At 42.7% G+C, this 24650-nt stretch overlaps 1 protein-coding gene across 1 annotated transcript in view, besides 1 other annotated feature; it reads right to left on the bottom strand.

Annotated features, from left to right (window-relative positions):
- Positions 1-24650, bottom strand: part of PRMT8 (protein arginine methyltransferase 8) — a 212625-nt gene that overhangs the window by 180622 nt on the left and 7353 nt on the right. The gene's annotated exons all lie outside the window — the stretch shown is intronic.
- Positions 14854-15397: an enhancer, noted in NCBI's record as "NANOG-H3K27ac-H3K4me1 hESC enhancer chr12:3507121-3507664 (GRCh37/hg19 assembly coordinates)". NCBI's record gives its function as "activates a minimal SCP1, AML or CMV promoter by ChIP-STARR-seq in naive H9 embryonic stem cells {active_cell/tissue: H9 hESC(naive)}" and the evidence as "EXISTENCE:reporter gene assay evidence [ECO:0000049][PMID:30033119]".

The following is a 24650-nucleotide window of genomic DNA, read 5'->3' as shown; positions in this document are numbered from 1 at the left end:
TGGCTGGGGAGGCCTCACCATCATGGCAGAAAACAAAGGGGAGGCAAGACACATCCTATATGGCAGCAGGCAAGAGAGCTTGTTCACGGGAACTCCCATTTATAAAACCATCAGATCTTGTGAGACGTATTCACTACCATGAGAACAGCCTGACCAATATGGTAAAACCCCATCTCTACTAAAAATACAAACAATTCAGCCAATTCTTGGCTGAATTAAGGTGGCCTACCCTTGGACTAGCTAACAGCCAGAAGCAAGCGTATATACTTTCTGGAGGAAAATCACATCACCTAGAACCTCAAATTACCCCTACATTTTTCAGACACAATGTTTAGAACTCAAAAATGTAAAATAAAGAAGCCTAGAGGGCTTTTGCTACCAGGATTGCTATGGCAGACCAATGCCTCATGGAATGTAATTAGAAAAGCAAATAAAATGCAGCTGGGCATGGTGGCTCACACCTGTAATCCCAGCACTTTGGGCGGCCAAGGTGGGTGGATCATGAGGTCAGGAGTTCGAGACCAGCCTGGCCAATATGGTAAAACCCTGTTTCTACTAAAAATACAAAAATCTTGTATAAGGGAACGCATCCATAATTCAGTTATCTCCACATGGCCCCACCCTTGACACATGGGGATTATTACAATTCAAGGTGAGATTTGGGTGGGGACACAGCCAAACCATATCAGCTTCTTAGTTTTTAATAAAAAGGTTTAAGAAGTAAAAAAAAGAGAGAGAATTTTTAAATAGAAAAAGGTTATAGAATAAGATATAAAAAAGGAAAATATTTTGTACAGATGTACAATGTGTGCTTTAAGCTAAGTGATATTACAAAAGAGTCAAAAAGTGTTTAAGAATTTAAAGTTTGTAAAGTATAAAAGTTACAGTGAGCTAAAGTTAATTTTTTGTTGAAGAAAGAAAACATTTTTTATAAACTTAATGTAGCCTAAGTGTAGTGTTTGTAAAGTTCACAGTAGTTCTAGGTCTTCACATTTACTCACCATTCACTCACTGACTCACACAGAACAACTTCTAGTTCTGTAAGCTCCATTCATGGTAAGTGCCCTGTACAGGTGTACAATTTTTAACTTTTTATACCATATTTTCACTGTACCTTTTTGATGTTTTGATACACAAATACTTACCATTGTGTTACAATTGCCCACAGTATTGAGAACAGTAACATGCTGTAGAGGTTTGTAGCCTAGGAGCAGTAGGGATAGCCTAGGTGTGCAGTCGGTTATAGCATCTAGGTTTGTGTGAGTACACTCTATGACGTTAGTACAACAATAAAATCACCTAACAACACAATTCTCAGAATATATCCCCATTGTTAAACAATGCATGCCTGTATCTTCAATCTTTGATTGGTTGACCCCACCAATGAGGAACCCATGGTTAGGGAGGGCTGACTGTACAGTTAGTCCATTTTCTATTGCTATAAGTGAATAGCTGAGACCGGGTCATTCATAAAGAAAAGACATTTATTTCTTAAGTTCTGGAGTCTGGGAAGTCTAACATGAAGGTTCTGGCACCTTGTGTGTGCCTCCTTCCTGCATCACAGCATGGTGAGAGGGCAAGAGCGTGCCAGCTCAGATCTCTCTTTCTCCTCTTATTAAGCCACCAGTTTCATCATGGGGCCCCTTGACCCATTAGATAAGATGACCTTATCTAATTCTAGTTATCTCCCAATGGCCCCAACTCCAAATATCATCTACATGTGAATTCAGGGATCAAGTTTCCGAAACATGAAATGTGGGGGACACATTCAAACCACAGCACATATTACACGCTTTTAGTTTTAACCAAGCTAGTACCATACAGCACATACAGGGGTTTTTTCCCATGAAGAATTTTGTATTGTTGAAAGTTCCACCTCCAGTATGTACTGGCTAGGTTGGGGCTGAACTTGACTCCCTGGAGAACTAGAAAAACTGGACAACATACAACAATATTTGTTTGAAGGCAACTGAAAGATGATCAAAGCAATGAAATTTTGTAGTGCTACAATCTGAAAGAGGAAGGAAATCAAGATAAATGAACCCAGAATTTGAGGCCTCTCCACCCCTCAAAGCAACAGGTAGACTCTATAAGCAAGAAGAGTGACTGAGGATCAGGAGCTGAGAAGTGAATGAGCTTTTAGCGGCCTTGTCAAACTGCTGTAACCAAAATGGAGGGCAGGTTCTGCCAGGGAGGAGGAAGCCTGGCAAACACCCCAGGCATTCAGCTGGGACCCCAAAGAGCTATGCTCTAGTTACAAGAGTAAACCAGCCCTCCAAAGACTGAAGCCAAGCCTCAAAGCATGCCGATTCCTGGCTGAATTAAGGTGGCCTACCCTTGGACTAGCTAACAGCCAGAAGCAAGCATATGTACTTTCTGGAGGAAAATCACATCACCTAGAACCTCAAATTACTACTATATTTTTCAGACACAATGTTTAGAACTTAAAAATGTAAAATAAAGAAGCCTAGAGGGCTTTTACTACCAGGATTGCTATGGCAGACCAATGCCCCATGGAATGTAATTAGAAAAGCAAATAAAATGCAGCTGGGTGCGGTGGCTCACGCCTGTAACCCCAGCACTTTGGGAGGCCGAGGCGGGTGGATCACGAGGTCAGGAGTTCGAGACCAGCCTGGCCAATATGGTAAAACCCTGTTTCTACTAAAAATACAAAAATTAGCTGGGCATGGTGGCGCGTGCCTGTAGTCCCAGCTGTGTGGGAGGCTGAGGCAGCAGAATCGCTTGAATCCAGTAGACGGAGGTTGCAGTGAGCCGAGATCGTGCCACTGCACTCCAGCCTGGGCGACAGAGCAAGACTCCGTCTCAAAAAAACAAACAAACAAACAGAAAACCAACAACAACAACAACAAAGAAAAGCAAGTAAAATGCAAGGGTCATAGTTACAGGCATCAGAGATCTTGAGAGTCAATGGGACCTATACAGGATTTGATTATGGGGAGGGGGAATTGCAGAGAGGAAGCTGGGAGCCTCTGTCAATTCTGTGAATAGGTAAAAAGCTGAGAAAGCTTTGCCCAGGCAGTGGGTCACTGCCAGGGGACTGAGAAACCATCAGAACTTCAGAAATCTCATGAGGTATAAGTGATAAAAATTGAAAACTTGAGAAACCTAAAAAACATGGTTTGTTTTTGCCTCAATAAGTTTGCCAAATTCTGTAACTGCACATGGCAGATGCCTCAAATTTCAAGGAGAGAATTTTGGCAGTTTTATGGTGCTGAGAAGACAGATTAGAATTTAGGACCTTCCAGAAAAAAAAGAGTCTTGGTGAACATTCCAGAAATTCATTTGGAAAACTTGAAGGTATATGTTACAGGATCAGGAGCTAACCAGAGGTAACAGGCTGCCAGAGGGCCAGAGCCACTCCATCCACGCCTCCCAGTTGCTGCTACACCCTGCCTCTCTTGGCCTGAGCTGAAGCGGCACCCCATCTCTGGGAAAATCAAGAATCAGTGACTTGGCTACCCAGAACAATCACACCCCCTGGTGCTGAAGCTGATGAGGCACTGTGGATTCCCAGGGAATCCCTGCCTTAGCTACCCAGAGCAGTCACAACCCCAGCACCTGAGCTGAAGTGGCTCCCAACCTCCCAGGAAATAAATGCCTTGGATGAGCTGAGCAGCTGCATCTTCCAGGGCTGAGCTGATGTGGCATCCCACATCCCAGGAAAACAGAGCATTGACTGAGATGGGACACCTCACCCCCGCCCCCAGGCCAAACAAGTGGAAAACCCTGCCTCCCTGGAACTAGACTAGCCACCCCAGATTCGGAGCTGCTGAAGCACCCCACCTCCTCGATGAATAGAGTCATTGCTGTGCTGCTCCATGCTTCCTGAGGCCCAAGCTGCAGCTGAATTTCACCAAGGACCCAGGGGTCCTTGCTATCTTGCCGAGCCTCAGATACTGGCATGTCCCACCATCCCAAGGTCTAGAGACACCACTACGTGGTGCCTTATTCCCCAGGGCCTGAGTTGCTGCTGTGACCTATTGGCTCCAGCTCCTGAATTACAGCTGTGTTCTGCTCACTGGACCCGAAACTCCACAGCACCCCTTCTTCCCTGAAGCTGGGCCAGTGCTGTGCCCTGCACCCCAGAGTCAGGGTCATAGTTAAAAATCCAGCAGGGCCTGAGCTGCTGCAGTGTGCCTCAGAGTCACCGACACCAGCTTTGTGGGCCATCTGCATTCACCCATGCTTCACAGAGAGTGAACCTTCACCCCAAGTCCCAGGTGCCACAGTAGGTTTGTGAGAGCCTGGGCCCAGGACTTGGGCTTTACAGCCACTCTGAGCACCTGCACCCCAGAACCCAGCACCACTGCAGCCACTCGTGGGCCATGTCTAACCCAACACCAAGAAGGATACCCTCATCTAAAACTCACCCTTGTGGATAAAATGAGAACAGGAAAACCCCAAAAGCTCTTGCTACTAAGAACAGCATACACTGCTGCCACAAACTTCTGCAGCCTAGACTACTGAGGCACTCACAATCATCCCTGACATTGATTACAGCTGAAGAAACTGCACAGGGGCTATACTACTGCATCCACTTCAATCCAGAGCCACCACAGCCTGCCCAACCGGCACCTGAAGACCCCTCTGCAGGTGAGTCTTTCCCTATGAAAGCCACTCTGTAAGGTTTTGAAGGGGTAGCTGTTCCACCAGATGCACAGATATTAATGCAGGGGTAAAAGAAACATGAAAAAGCAAAAAATAAATGACACCATCAAAGGAACAGACCTCAAAATAAAGAAAATCTATTAATCACCTGAAAAGAAATTCAAAATAATGTTCTTAAGAAAGCTCAGTTGGGTGCAGTGGTTCACTCCTATAATCCCAGCACTTTGGAAGGCCAAGGCAGGAAGATCGCTTGAGTCCATGAGTTTAAGACCAGCCTAGGCAATATAGGGAAGTCTCATTTCTACAAAAAATTTTTTTTAATTTAGCCAAGGATATTGTTGAGTGCCTGTAGTCCTAGCTACTTGAGAGGCTGAGATGGGAGGATCACTTGAGCCCTGGAGGTGGAGGTTGCAGTGAGCTGAAATCACACCACTGCACTCCAGCCTGGGCAAAAGAGTTAGACATGATCTAGAAAGAAAAAAAAGAAAAGAAAAGAGAGGATAGGAAAGAGGAAGGGAGGGAGGGAGGAAGGGAGGAAGGAAGGAAGGAAAGAAAGAAAGAAAGAAAGAGAAAGAGAGGGAGGGAGAGAGGAAAAGGAAGTAGAAATATTAAATAAAGATAAAAAAGAAAACTCAGCAAGATATGAGATTCAAGCTACAGATAGGTAATTCAACAAAATCAAGGAAACAATTCATGATCTGAGTGAGAAATGCAACAAAGAGATATCATAAAACAGAACCAAAGAAAAACAAACAACCAAACAGAAATCCTGAAACTGAAGAATTCAGTGAATGAAATGAAAAGTACAATGGAGAGCTTCAAAAGCAAACTAGATCAAGCAGAAGAAAGAATTTGCGAACTTGAAGATAAGTTTTTTGAAATTACCCAGTCAGAGGGAAAAAAAGAAAAGAGAATGAAAAAAGTAACACAGCCTACAGGACTTATGATGCACCATTAAGCAATGAAACTCTGGCATGATGGGAGTTCCAGAAGAAGATACAGAGAAAGGCACAAAAAGCTTATTTAATGGAGTAATTGCTGAAAAATTCCCAAGTCTTGGGAGAGACATAGACATCCAGATCCATTAAGCTCAAAGGGCCCCCTGACAGATTCAACCCAAAGAGGTCCTCTTCAAGGCATATTATAATCAAATAGTCAAAAGTCAAGGACAAAGAGAGCATTTTAAAAGCAGCAAGAAAAAAGCATTAAGTTGCATATAAGGGAATCACCATTAACAGAGTTAGAACCATCAACAGAGTTCTCAGGAGAAATGTTGCAAGACAGGATAGAATGGGATGAGATATGCAGGATAGAATAGGATGAGATATATTCACAGTGCTAAAAGAAAAAAAAAAGTCAGCCAAGAATACTAGAATGCTATACCCAATAAAGCTATCCTTCATGATATGGTTTGGCTGTGTCCCCACCAAAATCTCATCTTGAATTGTAATTCCCATAATCCCCACGTGTTGTGGGAGGGACCCAGTGGGAGGTAATCAAATCATGAGGGTGGTTACCCTCATGCTGGTCTTGTTATAGTGAGTGAGTTCTCATGAGATCTGATGGTTTAATAAGGGGCTTTTCCCCCTTTGCTCAGCACTTCTCCTTCCTGCCACCATATTAAGAAGGACATGTTTGCTTCCCTTTCTGTCATGATTGTAAGTTTCCTGAATCCTCCCCAGGCATGCTGAACTGTGAGTTAATTAAACCTCTTTCCTTTATAAATTACCCAGTCTTGGGTGTGTCTTTATTAGCAGCATGAGAACAAACTAATACAGTAATTGGTACCAAGAATGGGGCACAGCTATAAAGATACCCAAAAACGAAGAAGTGACTTTGGAACTGGGTAACAGGCAGAGGTTGGAACAGCTTGGAAGTCTCAGAAGAAGACAAGAAAATGTGGGAAAGTTTGGAACTTCCTAGAGACTTGGAGGGCTCAGAAGACAGAAAGATGTAGGAAAGTTTGGAACTTCCTACAGATTTGTTGAATAGCTTTGACTGAAATGCTGATAGTGATATAGACAATGAAGTCCAGGCTGAGGTGGTCTATGATGGAGATGAGGAACTTCTTGGGAACTGGAGCAAAGGTGACTCTTGTTACATTTTAGCAAAGAGGCTGGTGGCATTTTGCCCCTGCCTTAGAGATCTGTGTAACTTTGAACTTGAGAGAGATGATTTAGGGTATCTGACAGAAGAAATTTCTAAGTGGCAAAGCATTCAAGAGGAAGCAGAGCATAAAAGTTTGGAAATTTTGCAGCCTGACAATGCAATAAAAAAGAAAAATCAATTTTCTGGGAAAAAATTCAAGTCCACTACAGAAATCTGCATAAGTAACGAGGAGCCAAATGTTAATCAACAAGACAATGAGGAAAATGTCTCCAGGGCAATGTCAGAGACCTTCACAGCAGCCCCTCCCATCACAGGCCAAGAGGCCAAGGAGGGAAAAATGGTTTTGTGGGCCAAGTTCAGGGCCCCCTGCTGTGTGTAGCCCCAGAACCTTGTCCCCTGAATCCCAGCTGCTCCATCCTTGGCTAAAAGGGGCCAAAGTACAGCTCAAGCCATTGCTTCAAAAGGTGCAAGTCCCAAGACTTGGCAGCTTCCAGGTGGTGTTGCTCCTGTGGGTACGTGGAAGACAAGAATGGAAGTTTGGGAACCTCTGCTTAGATTTCAGAAATGTATGGAAATCCTGAATGTCCAGGCAGAAGTCTGCTGCAGGGGTGGAGCCCTCATCAAGAACCTCTGCTAGGGCAGTACAGAAGGAAAATAGGGGGTTGCAGCCCCCACACAGAGTCCCCACTTGGGCACTGCCTAGTGGAGCTGTGAGAAGAGGGCCAGTGTCTTCCAGATCTCAGAATGGTACTTCACCAACAGCTTACACAGTGTGCCTGGAAAAACCATACACTCAATGCCAGCCATGAAAGCAGCTATACCCTGCAAAGCCACAGGAGTGGAGCTGCCCAAGGCTATGGAGCCCACCTCTTGCATCAGCATGACCTGGATGTGAGACATGGTGTCAAAGGAGATCATTTTGGAACTTTAAGGCTTCATGACTGCCCTACTGGATTTTGGACTTCTATGAGGCCCCTTTCTTTTGGCCAATTTCTCTCATTTGGAACAGGTGAATTTACCCAAAGCCTGTACCTGCATTGTATCTACAAAGTAACTAACTTGCTTTTGATTTTATAGGCGAAAGGGACTTGCCTTGTCTCAGATGAGACTTTGGATTTGGACTGTTGAGTTAATGCTAGAATGAGCTAAGATTTGGGGGGACTGTTAGAAGGGCATGATTGCATTTTGAAATGTGAAGACATGATATTTGGAAGGAGCCAGAGGTGGAATGACATGGTTTGGCTGTGTCCCCACCCAAATCTCATCTTGAATTGTAATTCCCATAATCCCCATGTGTCATGGGAGGGACCCGGTGGGAGGTAATTGAATCATGAGGGCGATTACCCTCATGCTGGTCTTGTTGTAGTGAGTGAGTTTTCACAAGATCTGATGGTTTTATAAGGGGCTTCCCCCTTTGCTTGGCACTTCTTCCTGCAACCATGTGAAGAAGGACATGTTTGCTTCCCCTTCTGCCATGATTGTAAGCTTCCTGAGGCCTCCCCAGCCATGCTGAACTGTGACTCAATTGAAGTTTTTTTCCTTTATAAATTACCCAGTCTCGGGTATATCTACATTAGAAGCATGCAAATGGAAGAGTACACTTCATAAATCAAAAAGTGGAAAAGATATCCAAGGCTAACCAAATGAAAACTGCTATGGCTATCCTAATAGAGGGAAAAAATAGACTTTCAGGCAAAAACATTACTCAGGATAAAGAGAGGTATTTCATAATCATAAAGTGGTCAATTCACCAGAAAGCTATCACAATTATAAATCTATATGCATGCAACTACATAGTTTTAATATATTTTAACAAAAATTGACAAAATTAAAAGGAGAAACAAGAAATTCCTACTCATAGAGAGAGAGTTTAATACATCTCTCTCAATCACTGATAATGGACCCAATAAAATCAATAAGGAAAGGGAAGAACCGAACAACTTAATTAACAATTGAACTAATTGGCAAATGTAGAGCACCACATGATTCCTACTATATAATGTTCAAAAACAGGCAAATTGATGTTATTAGAAATCATGACAGTGGCTACTTTTGTACGGGAAAAGGATAGTTTTTGGAAATGGGCATAATGGAGAGTTTCTGGGGTACAGATGATATTCTCTAATGTTCTATTTCTTGACCTGGGTGGTAGTTAGATGAGTATGTTCACTTAGCGATAACTCATTGAGCCATTACAATTCAGTTTTAAAAGTGTATTAAATATGTTTTTTAGTTAGAATACTACATATAGCAAGAAAAATTATTTTATCTACGTATATCAAACTGGGTAAAATCTTGGAAATTTTGTTGAATGAAAACAGCACATTGAAGGAAGCTAAAATGTTTGTAAATTATAAAAATGATATATATTTTATGGAAATACATACGTGTAGTAAAAGTATAACTTCTGAACAGGAAGTATACATACCAATTTCAGAAAAATAATTATCAATGGGAAGGTAGGGAAGAGAGGAGTACAAAAGAGGCCTCAACAGTATCTACAACATTTCATTTCTTAAAACATTCTTAAGTAACTATGACAAAATGTCAACATTTGTTGAATTTGGCTAAAGGACGTATGGATGTTTGTTTGATTTCCTGTGATTTTCTATAGAAAATATTTCATATTTTTAAGTTTAAAAAATTACAAATATGTTTTCATGTCACCAGATATCCTGAAATAGCAATTTTTAAAGACAGCATTTTTTCTCTCTCTTTTTTTTTTTTTTTTTTTTTTGAGACAGAGTCTTGCTCTGTTGCCCAGGCTGGAGTGCAGTGGCATGATCTTGGCTCACTGCAACCTCCACCTCCCGAATTCAAGTGATTCTCCTGCCTCAGCTTCCCGAGTAGCTGGGACTACAGACGTGCCACTACGCCTGGCTAATTTTTGTATTTTTAGTAGAGACGGGGTTTCACCATATTGGCTAGGTTGGTCTCAAGCTCCTGAGCTCAAGTGATCTGCCGCCTCAGCCTCCCAAAGTTCTGGGATTACAGTCGTGAGCCACCGCACTCATCCTAAAGACTGCATTTCTCTATTATAAACATTACCATGATAAACATCCTTATCTTATTTATTCTATGTGTATTTTTTTCAGAGAAATTCCTAGATGCTGGATCCTTTTTTTTTTTTCTTCAACTTTTATTTTAAGTTCAGGGGTACATGTGCAGGATGTGCAGGTTTGTTACATTGTTAAACGTGTGCCCTGGTGGTTTGCTGCACAGATCATCCTGTCACCTAAGTATTAAGCCCAGCATCCATTAGCTATTCTTCCTGATGCTCTCCTTCCCCCAACCCCTCCCATAGGCCTCAGTGTGTGTTGTTCCCCTCATGTGTCCATGTGTTCTCATCATTCAGCTCCCACTTATAAGGGAGAACATGCAGTGTTTGGTTTTCTGTTCCTGTGTTAGTTTGCTGAGGAAAATGGCTTCCACCTCCATCCATGTCCCTGCAAAGGACAAGATCTCAATTCTTTTTTTTAGGCTGCATAGTATTCCATGGTGTATCTGTAGCATATTTTCTTTATCCAGTCTATCACTGATGGGCATTTAGGTGGATTCCATGTCACTTTTAGCAAATAGTGCTGCAGTGAACAAACATGTGCATGTATCTTTGTAATAGAATGATTTCTATTCCTTCAGGTATATACCCAGTAATGGGATTGTTGGGTCAAATGGTATCTCTGCCTCTAGGTCTTTGAGAAATTGTCACACTATCTTCCACAATGGTTGAACTAATTTACACTCGACCAACAGTGTAAAAGTGTTCCCTTTTCTCCACAACCTCACCAGCATCTATTGTTTTTTGACTTTTTAATAAGAGCTGTTCTGACTGGCATGAGATGGTATCTCATTGTGGTTTTGATTTGCATTTCTCTAATGATCAGGGATGTTGAGCTTTTTCTCATATGTTTGTTGGCCAAATGTATGTCTTCTTTTGAGAAGTGTTTGTGTTCTTTGCCCACTTTTTAATGGGGTTGTTTGTTTTATTCTTGTAAATTTGTTTAAGTTCCTTATAGACTATGGATATTAGACCTTTGTCAGATGGATGGATTGCAAACATTTTCTCCCATTCTGTAGGATGTCTGTTCACTCTGATGATAGTTTCTTTTGCTGTGCAGAAGCTCTTTAATTAGATCCCACTTGTCAATTTTTGCTTTTGTTGCAATTGCTTTTGGCATTTTCATCATGAAATCTTTGCCCCTGCCTATGTCCTGAATGGCATTGCCTAGATCCTCTCCTATGGCTTTCATAGTTTTGGGTTTTACATTTAAGTGTTTAATCCATCTTGAGTTAATTTTTGTATATGACGTAAGGAAGGGGTCCAGTTTCAATTTTCGCCATATGGCTAGCCTGTTCTCCCAGTTCCTATTAACTAGGAAATCCTTTCCCCATTGCTTGTTTTTGTCAGGTTTGTAAAAGATCAAATAGTTGTAGGAGTGCAGTCTTATTTCTGAGATCTCTATTCTGTTCCACTAGTCAGTGTTTGTTCTTGTACTAGTATCATGCTGTTTTAATTACTGTAGCTGTGTAGTATAGTTTGAAGTTGGGTAGGGTGATGCCTCCAGCTTTGTTCTTTTTGCTTAGGATTGTCTTGGCTATTTGGGCTCTTTTTTGGTTCCATATGAATTTTAAAATAGTTTTTTCTAATTCTGTGAAGAATGTCAATGGTAGTTTAATGGGAATATTATTGAATCTATAAATTACTTTGGGCAGTATGGCCATTTTCACGATATTGATTCCTCCTATCCATGAGCATGGAATGTTTTTCCATTTGTTTGTGTCCTCTCTGATTTCTTTGAGCAGCGGTTTGTAGTTCTCCTTGAAGAGGTCCATTACTTCCTTTGTTAGCTGTATTTATTCCTAAGTATTTTATTCTTTTTGTAGCAATTGTGAATGGGAGTTCATTCATGATTTGGCTCTCTGCTTGCGTGTTGTTGGCGTATAAGAATGCTAGCAATTTTTGCACACTGATTTTATATCCTGAGACTCCACTGAAGTTGCTTATCAGCTTAAGAAGCTTTTGAGCTGAAACAATTAGGTTTTCTAGATATAGGATCATGTTATCCTGTATCAAAGAAATATAGAGATAATTTAACTTCCTCTCTTCCTATTTGAATACTCTTTATTTCTTTCTCTTGCCTGACTGCTTGGCCAATACTATGTTGAATAGGAGTGGTGAGAGGAGGGCATCCTTTTCTTGTGCCGATTTTCAAGTGGAATGCTTCCAGCTTTTGCTTATTCAGTATGACATTGGCTGTGGGTTGGTCATACATGGCTCTTATTATTTTGAGGTATATTCCTCAATACCTAGTTTATTGAGAGTTTTTAACATGAAGTGATGTTGAATTTTATCAAAGGACTTTTCTGCATCTATTGAGATAATCATGTGGTTTTTGTCTTTAGTTCTGTTTATGTGATGAATAATGTTTATTGATTTGCCTATCTTTTTTTTTTTTTTTTTTTTTTGAGATGGAGTTTCGCTCTTGTTGTCCAGGCTGGAGTGTAATGGTGCGATCTCAGCTCACCACAACCTCCACCTCCCAGGTTCAAGCAATTCTCCTGCCTCAGCATCCCAAGTAGCTGGGATTACAGGCATGCACCACTGTGCCCAGCTAATTTTTTTTGTATTTTTAGTAGAGACAGGGTTTCTCCATGTTGAGGCTGGTCTCAAACTCCTGACCTCAGGTGATCTACCCACCTCGGCCTCCCAAAATGCTGGGATTACAGGCGTGAGCCACCACACTTGGCCAATTTGCCTATCTTGAACCAACCTTGCATCCCAGGGATGAAACCAACTTGATCCTGGTGGATAAGCTTTTTGATATGCTGCTAGATTCAGTTTGTCAGTATTTTATTGAGGATTTTTGCACTGATGTTCATCAAGGATATTGGCCTGAAGTTTTCTTTTTTATTGTATCTCTTCCAGGTTTTGGTATCAGGATAATGTTGGCCTCCTAGAATGAGTTAGCGAGGAGTCCCTCCTTTTCAATATTTTGGAATAGTTTCAGTAAAAATGGTACTAGCTCTTCTTTGTACCTCTGGTAGAATTCAGCTGTGAATCCCTCTGGTCCTGGGCTTTTTCTGGTTGGTAGGCTATTTATTACTGCCTCAATTTTAGAACTCCTGATTGGTCTTTTCAAGGACTCGATCTCTTCCTGGTTCTGTCTTGGGAGGGTGTATGTGTCCAGGAATTAATCCATTTCTTCTGGGTTTTCTAGTTTATGTGCATAGAGGTATTTATATTTTCTGATGGTTGTTTGTATTTCTGTGGGGTCAATGGTGATATCCTCCTTATCATTTCTGATTGTGTTTATTTGATTCTTCTCTCTTTTCTTCTTTATTAGTCTAACTAGTGGTCTACCTATTTTAGTAATTTTTTTCAAAACAAGAGCTCTTGGATTTGTTGATTTTTTGAAGGGTTTTTCGTCTCTTTATCTCCTTCAGTTCAGCTCTGATCTTGGTTATTTCTTGGTTTCTGCTAGCTTTGGGATTTGTTTGCTCTTGGTTCTCTAGTTCTTTTAGTTGAGATGTTAGGTTGTTAATGAGATCTTTCTAGCTTTTCAATGTGGGTATTTAGTGCTATAAATTTCCTCCTAGATGTTGGATTCTTAGGTCAAAAGTTATGAGCATTTTTAAAGCCTTCAATAGATTTTGACAGTTGTCATAACACTGTTACTCATTAACCAAGCCAAAAAAAAGTTTCTTCTATCTGGCCTTGGGGTATAGTCATTGATCCACTAAGAATCAGACTCACATGCTCACTCTAGCCTATGCCCTTCCCCAAATCCTTGTATTATTATGAAGATAATCTTTATAATCTGCATCCATGATGAAAGTTCTACTGGTTGTCCAACTTAAACTAATATCCAAAGTATAAAAATTGCATGTAGATAATAAGCCTACGTCATTGAGGGCCCTCCCAAAGGAATGAGGGAGGAGATGCTGTAATGGTTGTCCCTAACTTCACTGTGAGGGAGAGCACAATTCACGATATTGACTCCTCCAAGGACATCATTTCAGGTACAGTTATATTCCTGATATGGTTTTCTGTACACAAGAGGCTCATGATGTCTCTGGGGCCCGGCTCCCTTCCACCACATCATTTTAGTAAATTATAGACAAACCTGCTGCATCTCAGCAGAGGAATACTGGTTATTCTCCCCTGAATGCAGTTGAAAGAAAACTGGGGATACTGGTAGAAGTTTCTCCCTCCAGTCCCCAAACTGCAGCCTTCTTGCTTAAACTCCCTGAAAGCTTGACACTGGGGATTCTCTGAACCACTCTATTTTTGCCCCTCTCCAGCTCCCCAGTCGCCAACTTTGAAAGCTACTTGCTGGTAAAAGGGTTGCTCATCTGCATCTGTGTCCTGTGGGTTCATGATACCTAAGTGTTCCATCTAGAGTGAGTTACAGTAACCATAACCCTAGGTTGAAGACACACTAGTGAGCAGTGCTCAGGCCTGCTCCACAATGAAGCAACAGAAGTATGGTGGGGAGAGCCAACGAGCCCTTTCAGTTAACTTAGACTAAGTCAGAGTGAAAAGGTGAGAGGGTGAGACAGTCTTAGCTGTTCAGAGTCAAGGCAGGAAAGTAGACACCTTAACCTCCAGCCTGGGAACAAGCCCATTCCTTCAAAGGAATGGCTGACAGCTTTCACTTTGACATGGACTTTCATCTCCATCCTCCCAGGGCCATTCCCCCACACCATGAGCAGCCCCACTGCATATTTAGAACCCAGTGTGGTTCATTGCCAGATCTATCAGATGAACTCAGATGACTGCCTTTGCATTCCCCCTGCCTGGTGAGCCTCCTAACGTCATCATGACTGACCCTGGGCTTCCAGGCTAAACAGTAATGGAGCTACATGCCACCCAGGGGCACAACACATCATGTCTTGACTCTACCAGTCTCCTCCAGCACAGGAGAAAAAATGAAGTGAGCCCGGGAAGCTTATGGCTGATTGATTTTACATAAGGGCTGGATGGTTGGATGAGCAGCATAGTGAAGTCATCACCACTCCTGAGCTGGACGCAGGCTCCTACTGGAATGCACCTGAGGAAACCACTAAATCTTTCACTGTGCAATGTCTGAGGGCTCCTCAAAGGGGAATCCCCAAAGGCTTCTGTGAAGTATGAGATCAACTCTCTTTCTGAACATGACAGTATTTCTACACACTAAATTGACACAATAAACAGTGCTGTGTTGTAGCCACACTGTGAGGCACTGCCTCCCATACACAGCACCATTTTTGGCGTTCTCCACTGTCCTCACAGGTTGCAAACCAAAACCTAATGGGCTGAATCCCACCTTTGAAAACGGCCCCACACCTGTAAAATCCTGCAAAGGCCCCCCCATTACCTGCAGTATAAAATCCAAATTTCGAGGGAGGAGCCAAGATGGCCGAATAGGAACAGCTCCAGTCTACAGCTCACAGCATGAGCGACGCAGAAAACGGGTGATTTCTGCATTTCCATCTGAGGTACCGGGTTCATCTCACTAGGGAGTGCCAGACAGTGGGCGCAGGTCAGTGGGTGCGCGCACCGTGCGCGAGCCGAAGCAGGGCGAGGCATTGCCTCCTCGGGAAGCGCAAGGGGTCAGGGAGTTCCCTTTCCTAGTCAAAGGGGTGATGGACGGCACCTGGAAAATCAGGCCACTCCCACCCGAATACTGCGCTTTTCCGACGGGCTTAAAAAACGGCACACCAGGAGATTACATCCCACACCTGGCTCGGAGGGTCCTACGCCCATGGAGTCTCGCTGATTGCTAGCACAGCAGTCTGAGATCAAACTGCAAGGCGGCAGCGAGGCTGGGGGAGGGGCGCCCGCCATTGCCCGGGCTTGCTGAGGTAAACAAAGCAGCCGGGAAGCACGAACTGGGGGGAGCCCACCACAGCTCAAGGAGGCCTGCCTGCCTCTGTAGGCTCCACCTCTGGGGGCAGGGCACAGACAAACAAAAAGACAGCAGTAACCTCTGCAGACTTAAATGTCCCTGTCTGACAGCTTTGAAGAGAGCAGTGGTTCTCCCAGCACGCAGCTGGAGATCTGAGAACGGGCAGACTGCCTCCTCAAGTGGGTCCCTGACCCCTGACCCCCGAGCAGCCTAACTGGGAGGCACCCCCCAGCAGGGGCAGACTGACACCTCACAGGGCCCAGTACTCCAACAGACCTGCAGCTGAGGGTCCTGTCTGTTAAAAGGAAAACTAACAAACAGAAAGGACATCCACACCAAAAACCCATCAGTACATCACCATCATCAAAGACCAAAAGTAGATAAAACCACAAAGATGGGGAAAAAACAGAGCAGAAAAACTGGAAACTCTAAAACGCAGAGCACCTCTCCTCCTCCAAAGGAACGCAGTTCCTCACCAGCAATGGAACAAAGCTGGACGGAGAATGACTTTGACGAGCTGAGAAGAAGGCTTCAGACGATCAAATTACTCCAAGCTATGGGAGGACATTCAAACCAAAGGCAAAGAAGTTGAAAACTTTGAAAAAAATTTAGAAGAATGTATAACTAGAATAACCAATACAGAGAAGTGCTTAAAGGAGCTGATGGAGCTGAAAACCAAGGCTCGAGAACTACGTGAAGAATGCAGAAGCCTCAGGAGCCGGTGTGATCAACTGGAAGAAAGGGTATCAGCGATGGAAGATGAAATGAATGAAATGAAGTGAGAAGGGAAGTTTAGAGAAAAAAGAATAAAAAGAAATGAGCAAAGCCTCCAAGAAATATGGGACTATGTGAAAAGACCAAATCTATGTCTGATTGGTGTACCTGAAAGTGACGGGGAGAATGGAACCAAGTTGGAAAACACTCTGCAGGATATTATCCAGGAGAACTTCCCCAATCTAGCAAGGCAGGCCAACATTCAGATTCAGGAAATACAGAGAATGCCACAAAGATACTCCTCGAGAAGAGCAACTCCAAGACACATAATTGTCAGATTCACCAAAGTTGAAATGAAGGAAAAAATGTTAAGGGCAGCCAGAGAGAAAGGTCGGGTTACCCACAAAGGGAAGCCCATCAGACTAACAGTGGATCTTTCGGCAGAAACTCTACAAGCCAGAAGAGAGTGAGGGCCAATATTCAACGTTCTCAAAGAAAAGAATTTTCAACCCAGAATTTCATATCCAGCCAAACTAAGCTTCATAAGTGAAGGAGAAATAAAATACTTTACAGACAAGCAAATGCTGAGAGATTTTGTTACCACCAGGCCTGCCCTAAAAGAGCTCCTGAAGGAAGCGCTAAACATGGAAAGGAACAACCGGTACCAGCCGCTGCAAAATCATGCCAAAATGTAAAGACCATCAAGACTAGGAAGAAACTGCATCAACTAACCAGCAAAATAACCAGCTAACATCATAATGACAGGATCAAATTCACACATAACAATATTAACTTTAAATGTAAATGGACTAAATGCTCCAATTAAAAGACACAAACTGGCAAATTGGATAAAGAGTCAAGACCCATCAGTGTGCTGTACTCAGGAAACCCATCTCACATGCAGAGACACACATAGGCTCAAAATAAAAGGATGGAGGAAGATCTACCAAGCAAATGGAAAACGAAAAAAGGCAGGGGTTGCAATCCTAGTCTCTGATAAAACAGACTTTAAACCAACAAAGATCAAAAGAGACAAAGAAGGCCATTACATAATGGTAAAGGGATCAATTCAACAAGAAGAGCTAACTATCCTAAATATATATGCACTCAATACAGGAGCACCCAGATTCATAAAGCAAGTCCTGAGTGACCTACAAGGAGACTTAGACTCCCACACATTAGTAATGGGAGACTTTAACACCCCACTGTCAACATTAGACAGATCAACGAGACAGAAAGTCAACAAGGATACCCAGGAATTGAACTCAGCTCTGCACCAAGCAGACCTAATAGACATCTACAGAACTCTCCACCCCAAATCAACAGAATATACATTTTTTTCAGCACCACACCACACCTATTCCAAAATTGACCACATAGTTGGAAGTAAAGCTCTCCTCAGCAAATGTAAAAGAACAGAAATTATAACAAACTATCTCTCAGACCACAGTGCAATCAAACTAGAACTCAGGATTAAGAATCTCGCTCAAAACCACTCAACTACATGGAAACTGAACAACCTGCTCCTGAATGACTACTGGGTACATAACGAAATGAAGGCAGAAATAAAGATGTTCTTTGAAACCAACAAGAACAAAGACACAACATACCAGAATCTCTGGGACACATTCAAAGCAGTGTGTAGAGGGAAATTTATAGCACTAAATGCCCACAAGAGAAAGCAGGAAAGATCTAAAATTGACACCCTAACATCACAATTAAAAGAACTAGAAAAGCAAGAGCAAACACATTCAAAAGCTAGCAGAAGGCAAGAAATAACTAAAATCAGAACAGAACTGAAGGAAATAGAGACACAAAAAACCCTTCAAAAAATTAATGAATCCAGGAGCTGGTTTTTTGAAAGGATCAACAAAATTGATAGACCGCTAGCAAGACTAATAAAGAAAAAAAGCGAGAAGAATCAAATAGACGCAATAAAAAATGATAAAGGGGATATCACCACCAATCCCACAGAAATACAAACTACCATCAGAGAATACTACAAACACCTCTACGCAAATAAACTAGAAAATCTAGAAGAAGTGGATAAATTCCTCGACACATACACTCTCCCAAGACTAAACCAGGAAGAAGTTGAATCTCTGAATAGACCAATAACAGGATCTGAAATTGTGGCAATAATCAATAGCTTACCAACCAAAAAGAGTCCAGGACCAGATGGATTCACAGCTGAATTCTACCAGAGGTACAAGGAGGAACTGGTACCATTCCTTCTGAAACTATTCCAATCAATAGGAAAAGAGGGAATCCTCCCTAACTCATTTTATGAGGCCAGCATCATCCTGATACCAAAGCCGGGCAGAGACACAACCAAAAAAGAGAATTTTAGACCAATATCCTTGATGAACATTGATGCAAAAATCCTCAATAAAATACTGGCAGAATGAATCCAGCAGCACATCAAAAAGCTTATCCACCATGATCAAGTGGGCTTCATCCCTGGGATGCAAGGCTGGTTCAATATACGCAAATCAATAAATGTAATCCAGCATATAAACAGAACCAAAGACAAAAACCACATGATTATCTCAATAGATGCAGAAAAGTCCTTTGACAAAATTCAACAACCCTTCATGCTAAAAACTCTCAATAAATTAGGTATTGATGGGACGTATTTCAAAATAATAAGAGCTATCTATGACAAACCCACAGCCAATATCATACTGAGTGGGCAAAAACTGGAAGCATTCCCTTTGAAAACCGGCACAACACAGGGATGCCCTCTCTCACCACTCCTATTCAACATAGTGTTGGAAGTTCTGGCCAGGGCAATTAGGCAGGAGAAGGAAATAAAGGGTATTCAATTAGGAAAAGAGGAAGTCAAATTGTCCCTGTTTGCAGAGGACATGATTGTATATCTAGAAAACCCCATTGTCTCAGCCCAAAATCTCCTTAAGCTGATAAGCAACTTCAGCAAAGTCTCAGGATACAAAATCAATGTACAAAAATCACAAGCATTCTTATACACCAACAACAGACAGAGAGCCAAATCATGAGTGAACTCCCATTCACAATTGCTTCAAAGAGAATAAAATACCTAGGAATCCAACTTACAAGGGATGTGAAGGACCTCTTCAAGGAGAACTACAAACCACTGCTCAAGGAAATAAAAGAGGATACAAACAAATGGAAGAATATTCCATGCTCATGGGTAGGAAGAATCAATATCGTGAAAATGGCCATACTGCCCAAGGTAATTTACAGATTCAATGCCATCCCCATCAAGCTACCAATGACTTTCTTCACAGAATTGGAAAAAACTACTTTAAAGTTCATATGGAACCAAAAAAGAGCCCGCATCGCCAAGTCAATCCTAAGCCAAAAGAACAAAGCTGGAGGCATCACACTACCTGACTTCAAACTATACTACAAGGCTACAGTAACCACAACAGCATGGTACTGGTACCAAAACAGAGATATAGACCAATGGAACAGAACAGAGCCCTCAGAAATAACACCACATGTCTACAACTATCTGATCTTTGACAAACCTGAGAAAAACAAGCAATGGGGAAAGGATTCCCTATTTAATAAATGGTGCTGGGAAAACTGGCTAGCCATATGTAGAAAGCTGAAACTGGATCCCTTCCTTACACCTTATACAAAAATCAATTCAAGATGGATTAAAGACTTAAACGTTATACCTAAAACCATAAAAACCCTAGAAGAAAACCTAGGCATTACCATTCAGGACATAGGCATGGGCAAGGACTTCATGTCTAAAACACCAAAAGCAATGGCAACAAAAGCCAAAATTGACAAACGGGATCTAATTAAACTAAAGAGCTTCTGCACAGCAAAATAAACTACCATCAGAGTGAACAGGCAACCTACAAAATGGGAGAAAATTTTCACAACCTATTCATCTGACAAATGGCTAATATCCAGAATCTATAATGAACTGAAACAAATTTACAAGAAAAAAAACAAACAACCCCATCAAAAAGTGGGTGAAGGACATGAACAGACACTTCTCAAAAGAAGACATTTATGCAGCCAAAAAACACATGAAAAAATGCTCACCATCACTGGCCATCAGAGACATGCAAATCAAAACCACAATGAGATACCATCTCACACCAGTTAGAATGGCGATCATTAAAAAGTCAGGAAACATCAAGTGCTGGAGAGGATGTGGAGAAATAGGAACACTTTTACACTGTTGGTGGGACTGTAAACTAGTTCAACCATTGTGGAAGTCAGTGTGGCGATTCCTCAGGGATCTAGAACTAGAAATACCATTTGACCCAGCCATCCCATTACTGGGTATATACCCAAAGGATTACAAATCATGCTGCTTTAAAGACACATGCACACGTATGTTTATTGCGGCATTATTCACAATAGCAAAGACTTGGAACCAACCCAAATGTCCAACAATGATAGACTGGATTAAGAAAATGTGGCACATATACACCATGGAATACTATGCAGCCATAAAAAATGATGAGTTCATGTCCTTTGTAGGGACATGGATGAAACTGGAAATCATCATTCTCAGTAAACTATCACAAGAACAAAAAACCAAACACCGCATATTCTCACTCATAGGTGGGAATTGAACAATGAGAACACATGGACACAGGAAGGGGAACATCAAACTCTGGGGACTGTTGTGGGGTGGGGGGAGGGGGGAGGGATAGCACTGGGAGATATACCTAATGCTAGATGATGAGTTAGCGGGTGCAGCACACCAGCATGGCACATGTATACATATGTAACTAACCTGCACATTGTGCACATATACCCTAAAACTTAAAGTATAATAATAATAAATTTAAAAAAATAAAAATAAAAAAATAAAATAAAATCCAAATTTCTTAGCTTGACGTGTAAGTGATTCTGTGATCTGGCCCCAGGCTGTAATTCTGGCCTCTGATGCCACTGTGTGCCTCCTCTCATCCTGCATACCAGAAACATTTGTCTATTTGGTATTTTCTTAATTTGCCCTGCACTTTCATGCCTCCAACCCTTTGCTCCTGTTCCTTGCTCAGGAGCAATATCCTTCTCCTCTCTCTATTTGTGGATAGGCTTCTCTTGCTTCTAGTCCTAGATTAAAAGGCACCTGCTCCATTAAATGCCCTTCATTCATCAATTCAGAGTGCATTTATCTGCCCTCTGGGTCCCCATCTGCACCCTAGTTCAGTTGGTTTCATTTTGCACTGGTTCTGCATTTTTCATGTGCTCATTCATTTGATGGCCATGTATTGAAACATCTATCGTGTACCATCACTGTGTTGGCACTGGGAATATATACATGGTCCCAGTGTTGAGAACCTCACAGACTAGAGGGGGAGACAGATATGCAAATAGCTTTGGTACAGGATAACATGGAAAGTCAGATCACATCCCTCCTCCGCCCGAATCCTCTAGTGGCTTCGCATTCCACTCAGATTTAAAGCCAAGTTTACAGCTATTACCTAAAAGATTTCACACAACCTAGCTCTGGTCACTTCTCCAAACTCTTCTCCCATCACTCCCATCTCTCGCTCCAGTGACCTCCCCACTGCTCGTCCCACACACAGAGTGATTTTGCCCCAGGGCATTTGTGCTGGCTGTTCCCTCTCCCTGAGGCATTTGTATGGCTGCCCCCTGACTTCCTTCTAGCCTTTTGTCAAATGCCACCTTCTTAATGAGGGCTTTAGTGGCCACCCACCTCCCTGATCCTTCATATCTACCTTCCTAAGCATGTATTCTGTTGTATGCACTGTGCGTTTTGCCTATTTATTGCTCATGGTTTTCCCCTCCAGTGGATTGCAAGCTCTGTGTCAGAGGCATTTTTATCTGCTTTGTTCCAGTGAACTACCTGGAACAGCACCGGGCACATAATAGGTGCTCATTAAAGATCTACCGAAAAAAATGAATCACAGGATGAGTGCATGCTATAGGAGATGGGAGCAAGGGCAAAAGAAGGAGCAACTCTGGTGAATCCCCTCAGAGCCCACTCCTTAGAACCCAGTTAGTTCCCATAACTGAACAATTCAGACCCAGGGAATGGCCTATACCATTGGCCTCTCCTACTAGTGTAATTGGCAAAATACTAAATAGGCTATATGGCCTGATCCAGAGCTATTCGCTCAGCCCAAAACATGAATGATGCGTCTACTATGTGCTAGGAGGTGCTAGGCTCCGGAGGCTCAGTGGTGAACAAGTCTGCCTGTTCCCTGACCTTATGGAGCTTATAATCTAACGAACAGCAAAAGGAATGAATGACATGACCATGAATTGTAACGAGTGCTAGAACTCCTGCCCAAGTCACATCCTCCTGGGACTAAGAGGCAATTTTCCTTAGTGGCTAGGAGTGTGGGCTCAGAAATCACACTGCTTGATTCAGTCATAGTGCCATATATATTAGCTGTGTGACCTTGGGTAAGTAACTTACCTTCTCTGAGCTTCTGTTTCTTCCTGTGCAGAACAGGAATCGTAATGGTAGCTACTATTAGGGTTACTGTGAGGATTAAATAGGTGATCCATAAACAGACTGGCACAGTAAAATGTCATTCAATTGTCACAGTTGTTAAGGAAAGGAGGGCTCACTTGGGAGGTCCAGCATAGCCCAAAGCCATGCTGTATGAAGTCATTACATCAGTTCACTGATAGGTAAGCAGATGTTTCCTAATTGGCCTGAATTGTGCCATCGGTCAGCAGGAGGAACAGAAAACAGCAGCCAGAACTTTTCACTGCGTTGGTCTAATCAGTACAGCATACTCCTTCCTTCCAGCTTGTGATGTGATTATTCCCTTGTGCAGAATAAGATTCAGGCTTAGTTTAAATCCCATAACTAAGAGCCCATTATGCAGTGTACTGAGCAGCAAGTGGGAAGATCACAGGGCCTCCTGCAGCTGGAGCTGCAATTAGTGCCCTAGGGCAATTGCGTCCTGGATTCTCAGCATCCTCACCACTTCTTCTCCCCACTCTCTCTCCCCATGCCCAGAAGCACAGGCGGCTCTGGACACTGGGCAGCCTTGGAGGAGGCTCAAGCTCTCTTAACTGAGCCAAGCCAATAACCAGCGTTAGGCTCCTAAGGGCCTGCAGCGGATGCAGCCACCCAGCTGCACCAATTAGTCCTGAGTCTGATCGGGTATGTTTCTGGGTCCCTTTAGAATCCCCCCAAACTCATCAACCAGCCATGTTCTGCCCTTCCCTTGCTTCCCATACTTGCCCTCTCTTTCCTCTGGGAAGACTAGCAGACGGAAAGGGAATTCCAGGAGTGTTCTGAGTAATGGAGCTATGTTTGGGTAGCTCCCCAGCAAACTCCCAAGCAGCCGCATAATTTCAAAGCATCCTTCCCTTTTCTGTGTCCCCAGGGCAGTAGATGAGTGTTGCTCTAGTGCTTAGCACATCCGATCATGGTGTCATATTATACGCTTCCCCTCCACTCACCTAAACAGTGGCCTCCTTCAAGGCTGACACTGTGTTTCTTTTTGCTTCATACCCATTAAGGCCAGCACAGGATCTGGCATATGGTAGGAGGACAACAAATGCTATTGAAGAATGAACAACCCAGTGAAGGAAGGAAGGAAGGAAAGAATGAGCGAATGCCTTCCAAAGGGCAAGTCTGAGAAGGGAAGGGTGGGGAGGAGTAGCAGAGGACCAAGGGCTGGGCGAGCAGGGCTGGACGAGAATGTAACCTTAGGGATTTTGCAGCGCGATAAGCATGGAATCTGTCGTTCCAGCCCCAGATCTGTCTGTCACCAGCGTTGACCCTGGACAGTCCACTTACCAGTCTAGGGCTCAGTTTCTTCATCTACAAAGGAAGGGAGTTGGGCTAGGTGAGCTCTTCCTTTGAAACTAATAGAAAAATGTATTCCCCACCTCCATCTCTCGGTACCCCCAAGTTCCCCTTTATGAAAGAACCCAGAAGGATTCACTGTAATCCTCCCTATGAATGTATGTAGTGGTCTTTCTCACACTGGAATGGATGATTCCAGAATGTAATGGCATCATTCCCAGTGTGGTGCTGGCAAGCAGGTGGTCCTGGGCACCGTGGGATGGAATCAAAGCAGAACTCCACAGCCTAAGGTTCACTGGAATAAAATATAATTTATTCACCACATTCCAGGTTAACAGTCAGAGAAGAGTGACTGACACGCATCAGGCTTTGGGGAAAAAAAGTGCTTGGGAAATAAGAGGGAAGAGACTTGAGAGACGAAATAAATTGTGTCTATATGATCTTGACTATCACTTTTTTCTTGTCTTGCCTGGAGCAAGCGAGATAAGAAAGTCTACTTTCAGCTAGTGCAGTGTAGTAGGTAGAGCACAGGCTTTAGAGACAGCCTGATGTGGGCT

Source organism: Homo sapiens, chromosome 12 (genome assembly GCF_000001405.40).
Source record: "Homo sapiens chromosome 12, GRCh38.p14 Primary Assembly".
NCBI classification, from domain to species: Eukaryota; Metazoa; Chordata; class Mammalia; order Primates; family Hominidae; genus Homo; species Homo sapiens.
This window is presented reverse-complemented; position numbering and strand designations above follow the sequence as displayed.